An 8,699-nucleotide genomic window follows, 5' to 3' on the forward strand; every position below is an offset into this window, starting at 1 on the left:
TTGAGACTGCCCATGGTCATTGTGATGAGATGAAGACAGAAAATGAGCTGGGCTGGGGGAAGGTGGTCATCTCCTCTGGACGTGATTAGTTTGAGACTCCTGTTGGGTAGCCCACTGGGCATGGTCAGCAGGAAATTGAGGAGCTGAGAGGGTTTGGAGCTGAGATAGACTCCAGCCTCACCATGTGGGCAATAGTGGGGGTCACAGAGTGTGAAGATGGCCAAGAAAGAGGTCTGGGTGGGGGCTGGGGAGTCAGCAGCCAGGCATGGGCCATGGAGAAACAGATGCCAGGGTAAGAGGAAAGGGGAGTCTCAGACCCCAGGGGAAAAGAGTCACTGGAAAGAGGGGCCAGTCCCATGTCATATCCAGCAGAGACACCAGGTACAGCAGAAGGACCTTGGACATGACCATGAGGAGGGCCTTGTTGGCCATGACCTGGGAGAGATGGGGGTGAGAGCCTGGGGGACCACACCATGTCCCCAGCACACGAAACAGTGCCTGGTAGACAGAATGTATTTATGGATGGACGGACAGGTAGATGGATGGATGAATGGACAGATGATAGATGGATGCAAAGACAGATGAATAGATGGACAGATGCACAGATGGACAGATGGATGGACGGACAGACGGAATGAATGATCAGAAAAGGCTTCATGAACAAAGTGAGACTGAGCTGCATCTCCATGGGTAGATACAAAAGCAGAGGACTCTCCTCTTGAGTCAGGAATGACCCAGTGTCCTGGTCCAGGGAGGAAGTCAGCCTCCTTGACTGGGGACACTTGTGGCAGATTTCAGAGGCCCTTAAAATGAGGCCAAGTGAGGTGGACAGGTCCGAGCCAGCTGAGGACTCCTCAGCCACACGGCACAGCTGCCTGAGGGGATGTGTCACTCAGGGAGTTGCTGGGACCTACTGGGCCCAGCGTTGCCATCAGCACCAACAGCTTCAGAGAGGGGGACACATGCCGGGGTGACTCCAAGGCTGTGGGCGGCACCTGCCTCAGATAGAGAACAGGCACAGAGACACTACTGGGGGACACTACTGGGACACTGGCCACCCCCCTACCCTGTGCCTAGATCACAGCCTACACACTGCAGCCCTGTGCCCCTCACACCCAGCAGGTTCCTGCTCCAGCGCGGCTCCTGGACTGGCCCCGGGTGCTGGCCCCGGGGGTTTCAATCCAAGCATAATTCAGTGAAGCATGTGTTTGGCAGCGGGACCCAGCTCACCGTTTTAGGTACGTGGCTCTAACTTCCCAGCCTGTCCCACCCTCTCCTGTCTCTGGAAAAATCTGTTTTCTTTCTCTGGGTCTTCTTCCCCTCTGGCCTCCAGGCCTTAGGCATGAAACCCTCCCTTTCTCCTTGGGGTCTGGGGGAAGTGGGCTAGTCTCAGGTCAACTGGCTTGAAGGGCCTCTACAGTGGGAGCAGCCGCCTTCAGGTTCCAACAGTGGGACACAGCCTGGTCCCGGGACCTGGGCTGGGATTGGGCGGGGTCAGTGCTCCTCCCCTCTCCCAGGGCAAGTGTCTGAGTGAGGGACAGAGGCCGGTTCTGATAAGGGGCCCTGCAGTGGCCTTAGAGACAGTCCCCGGGACCCCAGGGTCTAGGCTGAGGGCTGGATGCCCATCCAGCCTGGGAGGGCCACACAGGGCCCTGGGGACACAGGCGTCACCCCAAGGGGAGACCAATGGAGGGCACAGAGAGGGCTCTGGGTCTAGGCTGCAGCTCTGTGGCCTGTGCTGGGTCGTAAGGACATGGGGACATAGAGGGATGGGTGAGACTGGGTGAGGTCCCAGAGCCCAGCCCTCCCAGGACGGTCACGAGAAAGGAGAGGGTCTCTTAGTGCAGAGATGTGTCTGTCCCTGGAGCCCTATCACCTCTGGGGCCTGGTGTCTCCATTCACAGGTCGGCCTCCTGCCTTCATTTGAGGAAGGGCACCTTAGACTCAGAAGGTGACTAGCGGGGAGTAAACGGGAGTGCAGAGAACTCCACGGCTGACAGGTGAAGTCCAGGGGCATCAGAGGCTGCTGGGGTGGGCATGGGGGCTGTGGTACCCCAACATCTGTGTTAGCAGCCCCAAGAACCCAGCCGATGTGAAGGGTCCTGTGGTTGGGCTGGTGGGGACAGGGGCGACGGCAGAGCCCCAGGGTGTGTCTGGGTGGAGCCCACGCTTCACCAGGAGAGCTGAGTGGGCCAGGCTGGGTCACAGCCTGGTGCCCCAGGGGATGGGAAGCTCCAGGCCATGCCAGGCTTGGGCCTCCCCACACCCTGCCAGGTCAGTTTTGTGTGCTGTTGGGGAGACCCCTAGATTCCAAACTCAGACTCCAGAAACCAGGAAGGAGGGAGCACAGCCTGCCCTGGGTGCACACGGGGAAACTGAGGCTGCAGAGGAAAGGGCTGGGCCAGGACACCTGGGAAAGGTGACTTGGGAAGGGGTCCTAGGAAGGCACAGGGCTGTCTGCTCTCCAGAGGGCTCCAGTGGAAAGGAGGGAATGAGGAGGGAAGGAGAGGCCCTGGGTGGACCAGACGGCCACACCATGAACCCTCCCAGAGACTTTAGACAGAGAGAGGCGCTCCACAACACCCCACACTCCCTCTGCCATCTCTCACCCCCTCCTCTGTCCACACAGGTCAGCCCAAGGCCACCCCCTCGGTCACTCTGTTCCTGCCGTCCTCTGAGGAGCTCCAAGCCAACAAGGCCACACTGGTGTGTCTCATGAATGACTTCTATCTGGGAATCTTGACGGTGACCTGGAAGGCAGATGGTACCCCCATCACCCAGGGCGTGGAGATGACCACGCCCTCCAAACAGAGCAACAGCAAGTACATGGCCAGCAGCTACCTGAGCCTGACGCCCGAGCAGTGGAGGTCCCGCAGAAGCTACAGCTGCCAGGTCATGCATGAAGGGAGCACTGCAGAGAAGACGGTGGCCCCTGCAGAATGTTCATAGGTTCCCAGCCCCCACCCCACCCACAGGGGCCTGGAGCTGCAGGATCCCAGGGGAGGCGTCTCTCTCTGCATCCCAAGCCATCCAGCCCTTCTCCCTGTACCCAGTAAACCCTCAGTAAATATCCTCTTTGTCAACCAGAAATCCTGCTCCCTCTCTTCATTTCTTATCTCTCATATAATGTGATGCTTCTCCTGGGTTCTCAGTGTGGCGCTGGGAGAATGCTGACACCAGTGGGAAAGTAGCCTGGAGGAGAGGATCAAAGCCACCCACGGGTGTCCCCTGGGGAAATAGGCCAGGATAGGAGGAGTTCGCTCACTGGACACCAGTCCCTCCAGTCTCTCCCTCCTCCCCTTCTTCCTTGCAGCTCAACCCCCAACTCGCTGCCTGCTTTCTGGAGGGAGCTACTTCTGGCTGAGCCTCCAGATACACCCTGTGTCCCTGTCCTGGTCTGGACCCTCTACCCACCCACAGCCTCTCTTTCCTCAGCCTGGAAATCCTACTCTGAGCCTGGAGCCCCTCTTCTGGCCCTGACCCTGGCCCCTGGAATGCCTTCCTTCCTCTCTGCCCAACTCCCCACCCCTGAGAGCTGGACTGTCCAGGATTTTTCATCTGACAGCAGGTTCAGAGGCCTGAGAAAAATAGGAGGAAGCCAAGAAGGAAACACACATGAAAGGCCTGCAAGAGGATCAGGACACTTGCAAAAGATAGGCTCTGAGCTCTCCAGGAACCAGTGCAAGAAGGGTAATACCTCCATCATTTCTTTCTTTTTGTTTTTTTAGTTGGAGTCTCGCTGTGTTGCCCAGGCTGGAGTGCAATGGTACAATCTCTGCTCACCATAACCTCCACCTCCCAGGTTCAACAGATTCTCCTGCCTCAGCCTCCTGAGTAGCTGGGATTACAGGTATGTGCCACCACACCCGGCTAATTTTTGTATTTTTATTAGAGATGGAGTTTCGCCATGTTGTTCAGGCTGGTGTGCTCCATCATTTCTAAGAGATTAAACAAGTCTTTGCTCGAGGGAAGTTGGTTTTCTCAATGCTGAGGCCAGGCATCTCTTCATAATTAAAAGTGGGGATGTGTTTTACCCAAGGCCTCACTATTGATGGGATTTGGGCTCTGACATGTGCACAGGTGACTTCCTGGCAGCCCTAGGACATGGAGAGTTTCTCAGATGCTTGGCACAGACAGTCACTGGCCATCTTTGCAGGAAGCATCATTTTTGGGAAACTCTTCGCCATTGGATCCTGGGCCTCAGGTGGAAAACCAGGTCCTGTGTTGGGCATTTCTCTGTGAGGCTCCCTAGGTCTGGGGCTCCAGCTCCTCTCTGAGAAGAAGGTGTGGGGGGAGAGAACAGGGCCCAGCCACACCCAGCCTCTCCTGCATGGTTCCTGCTCATCAGGGTGTTAGAGGGGTGGTGGCACCAGCAGTGGTCAGGCCTGTGTTTCTGTGGGTGGGGCCAAGGAGGTACCCTTGGGGCATCCTAGGGAGTCTCTCCCATGGCTCCTGTTTCACTTTCCTGTGGCTGCTGTCAGAAATGACCCGTAATTTAGAGGCTTAAAACATCACACATTGATTCTGTCCCTGGTCTGGAGGTCAGACGTCCAAAATGAATCGTAGAGTGCTAAAATCAGGGTGCCAGCCAGGCCAGGCTCCTTTGAGGGCTACGGAGAGAATCCGTGTCCAGGATTTTTCCAGCTTCTAGAGGATGCCCTGGGCTCCTGGCCCTTTCCTCCAACTTCAAAGCCAGAGCCAGCATCTTCAAATCTCTCCCACTCTTCTCTCTCTCTCTCTCTCTCTCTCCCCACCGCCTTCTCTCACCCTCCCTCCTTCTCTCCCTTTCTTGTCCTCCAGCCCCACACCTGCTGTCACTCTGACCCTCCTGCCTCCTCCTTTCCCTTATAAAGACCCCACCTTGGACCCACCCACATAACCCAGGATCATCTTCCACCTCAGGCCCCTTGACATCATCACATCTGTAAAGTCCCTGAGGCCACACAACACAGCACATGGACAGGTCCCGGGACTGGGACACAGCCGTCCCTGGGCCCTAATTCAGCCCAACCACAGCTCCTTTCCTTCCTTCCTCTCTCCTTCTCTGGGTATAAGAAGGGAATGCAGAGAGGTTGGTCAATGAATACACACTTACAGTTAGATGCAAGGAATGTGTTCTAATGTTGGATAGCAGAGTAGGGTGACTATGGTTAGCAATAATGTATTGTATATTTCAAAATAGCCACAAGAGAGAACTGAAATATACTCAACACATAGAAATGATAAATACTGAAGCCATACCCCAAATATCCTGACTTGATGATGACACGGTGGATGCACAGAACCAAACAGCACATGTAACTCAGAAATGTCCAATATAGGCCGAGTCTGGTGGCTCACACTTGTAATCCCAGCACTTTAGGAGGCCGAGGCGGGCGGATCATGAGGTCAGGAGATCGAGACCATCCTGGTTAACATGGTGAAACCCCGTCTCTACTAAAAATACAAAAAAATTATCTGAGCATGGTGGCGGGCACCTGTAGTTCCAGCTACTTGGGAGGCTGAGGCAGGAGAATGGTGTGAACCCAGCAGCCAGAGCTTGCAGTGAGCCGAGATTGCGCCACTGCACTCCAGCCTAGATGACAAAGCAATACTCCACCTCAAAAAAAAAAAAAGATATTTCCAATATCATGTATCAGTATATTCTTTTCTATTAATAAGAAAGGCAAGAAAAAGAAGTTAAGCATGAACTAGCCATTTGACCTAGCAATTCCAGCCCTAAGAATTTGTCTAGAAGAAATGAAAGCATGTGTTCCAAAAAGACGTGTACATAAATGTTCTCAGCAGCCTCATTCACTATAGGCAGCAACTGGAAACAACCCAAGTGTCCGTCAGCTAGAGAATGGATAGACCCATATGGTCTGTGCATACAGTGGAGTACTGCTCAGTTACACAAGGAAAAGAAACTATGGATACAGGTCACAGGAGGGATGAACTTCAAAACATTACAGTAAGTGAAAGAAGTAAAACTCCACGAGAGAAGTTGGTGGGTATGGATGTGTTTTTGAACTGGCAGAATTTTACTCTGTTCATTGGGGTATCAGGTATTGAGTCCCTATTGACCAGGTACTGTGCTAGGTGTGGCCATTACAGAAATCAGAAGCAGACACCAGCTCCATTGTGATGAGACTCACTCGATCAGCCATTTCTGATGAACAGTGAGGTACCTTGACACTCACTGCTTACATTTGCAGGCTTTACTTAATGCCACTTAAATCTCCCTGTTCCCCAAGTCTCCTTTCTTTTTTCTTTTTTTTTTGCTAGACAGATTCTTGCTCTGTCACCCAGGCTGGAGTGCAGTGGCACCATCTCGGCTCACTGCAACATCCATCCCCTGGGTTCAAGCAGTTCTCCTGCCTCAGCCTCCCGAATAGCTGGGATTACAAGTGCCCACCAACATGCCCGCTAATTTTTGTATTTTTAGTAGAGACGGGGTTTTGTCATGTTGGCCAGGCTGGTCTTGAACTCCTCCTGACCTCAGGTGATCCGCCTGCCTAGGCCTCCCAAAGTTTTGGGATTACAGGCATGAGCCACCGTGCCTGGCCCCCACATCTCTTTTCTTTCCAACTCCCCTTATTAGACACAGCTTTTTAAAGCAATCCCTGCCATACCCATGGCTTCAATTGTTTTCTATATGCTCTGATGAGAATAAAATTTAAATGTTGTTTTTATATAACAGCTTTATTTTACATGACACCTCATTCACCATGATCATAAATTCAGAGTTGCTCTAAGAAAGTAATAACTAAAAAATTGTCATATTCTTTGTATGTAAATGTTAGGAAATTTCGTTAATGGTTTGACTTAACGTGTGTGTTATTTTTTAAAACATGAGTTGTGATGTCATAGAATGGACTTAGCCTACAGAGGTTTCTATCCAACTTTCAAGCAGAGAGCTCCATTTCAGTGCGATACTTAAGAGTCCAGAACTATCTTTTTTTTTTTTTTTTTTTTTTGAGACGGAGTCTCACTCTGTCACCCAGGCTGGAGTGCAGTGGCATGATCTCGGCTCATTGCAAGCTCCGCCTCCCAGGTTCAAGGGATTCTCCTGCCTCAGCCTCCCGAGTAGCTGGTATTACAGGTACCTGCCATTGTGCCTGGCTAATTTTTGTATTTTTAGTAGAGACTGGGTTTCACCATGTTGGCCAGGCTGGTCTCGAACTCCTGACCTCATGATCCACCCAGCTCGGCCTCCCAAAGTGCTGGGATTACAGGCGTGAGTCACCGTGTCTGGCCCAAAACTATCTTATTCCCCATACCTATTCCTCTTCCTACATTGTCTGTGTAGGAGAAAGTCACTGATATTTACCCAGTCCTTCAAACTAGAGCCTTAGCAGCCTGTTTTTCCTTTTCCTTCCCCTGTTCTTCCACATCTAATCCTCTAGCACTACCTGTTCTCTCTCCCAAATGAACACAAAACTTTTCCGTCCACTTCAGTCATTTCCTCTGCCTTTGGCCTTATCTGTTCTCCCAGATGAACATAGTGTCTCTCTCTCTTTTTTTTGAGACAGAATCTCTCTCTGTCGCCTAGGCTGGAGTTCAATGGTGTGATCTTGGCTCACTGCAACCTCCACCTCTCGGGTTCAAGTGATTCTCCTGCCTCAGCCCCTCGAGTAGATGGGACTACATACAGGTGCCCGCCACCATGCCAGGCTAATTTTTGTATTTTTAGTAGACATGGGGTTTCACCATGTTGGCCAGGCTGGTCTCGAACTCCTGACCTCAAATGTTCCACCCACCTCAGCCTCCCAACATAATGTCTCTTAATTGGTCCCATTGCTTCCATGAGTCCTTCTCTGTTGTGCAGAGAGACCTCACTGCAAACACGTCTGATAGAGACTCCTCATCTCTATGTGGTTCCGTGACTCTCATGTTGCTAGAATAAAATTTAAACTCTACTTAAACTCTACTGCTGGACAGTGAATGAGTCTTTGTATTCCAGGTTCATTCACTGCCCAGCAGTGTAGTCTTACACAACTGAACTCTCTAAGCCTTGGTTTGCTCATCTGCCTGAACTCACTGAGTGTTGGGACTGTTTCAGGACCATGAAGTGCCTCACCCTTAGAAGGGATTTAATGTTGAATGAAAGGGAGGAATTTAAAAATCCACATAAAAAACATTTTTTTGTTGTTTTTTGAGATGGAGTCTCGCTCTGTTGCCCAGGCTGGAGTGCAGTGGCACAATCTCAGCTCACTGCAACCTCTGCCTCCTGGGTTCAAGTGATTCTCCTGCCTCAGCCTTCTGAGTAGCTGGGATTACAGGCATGTGCCACCACGCCCAGCTATTTTTTGTATTTTTAGTAGAGATGGGGTTTTGCCATGTTGCCCCAGCTGGTCTCAAACTCCTGACCTCACGTGATCCACCCACCTGGGCCTCCCAAAGTGCTAGGATTACAGCTGTGAGCCACCGCGCCCAGCCATTTTTCTTAAAATAAACTAATCTACAATGTCACTTCCCCTCCATGCTTGACTTCTACCTTTACTTTCTGATAACCACAGTCATCTTGTGGGGATCAAGACTCCTCAGGATTAAAATCTGGCCCCACCTTGAGCAGTCGTGGGACTTTGGGGAAGTTACTTGACTTTTCCATCTAGATTTATTCTCCAAAATCTATAAAATGCGACTGTTTCTGAAGGTTAAATTAGTAGGCCACAGTTGGAACAGTGTCAGACACATAATGCTTGCCAGATGTTGACTAT

General features: G+C 51.7%; 1 pseudogene across 1 annotated transcript; it reads left to right on the plus strand.

Annotated features, from left to right (window-relative positions):
* The first annotated feature begins 1,119 nt into the window (after nt 1-1,119).
* IGLL3P (immunoglobulin lambda like polypeptide 3, pseudogene) lies at nt 1,120-3,090 on the plus strand (annotated as a pseudogene). The gene is made up of 3 exons (NR_029395.1): nt 1,120-1,238; nt 1,905-2,000; nt 2,630-3,090. The product of NR_029395.1 is annotated as an immunoglobulin lambda like polypeptide 3, pseudogene (transcript).
* The last annotated feature ends 5,609 nt before the right edge of the window (nt 3,091-8,699 follow it).

This window comes from Homo sapiens, chromosome 22 (assembly GCF_000001405.40).
Source record: "Homo sapiens chromosome 22, GRCh38.p14 Primary Assembly".
Taxonomy (NCBI): domain Eukaryota; kingdom Metazoa; phylum Chordata; class Mammalia; order Primates; family Hominidae; genus Homo; species Homo sapiens.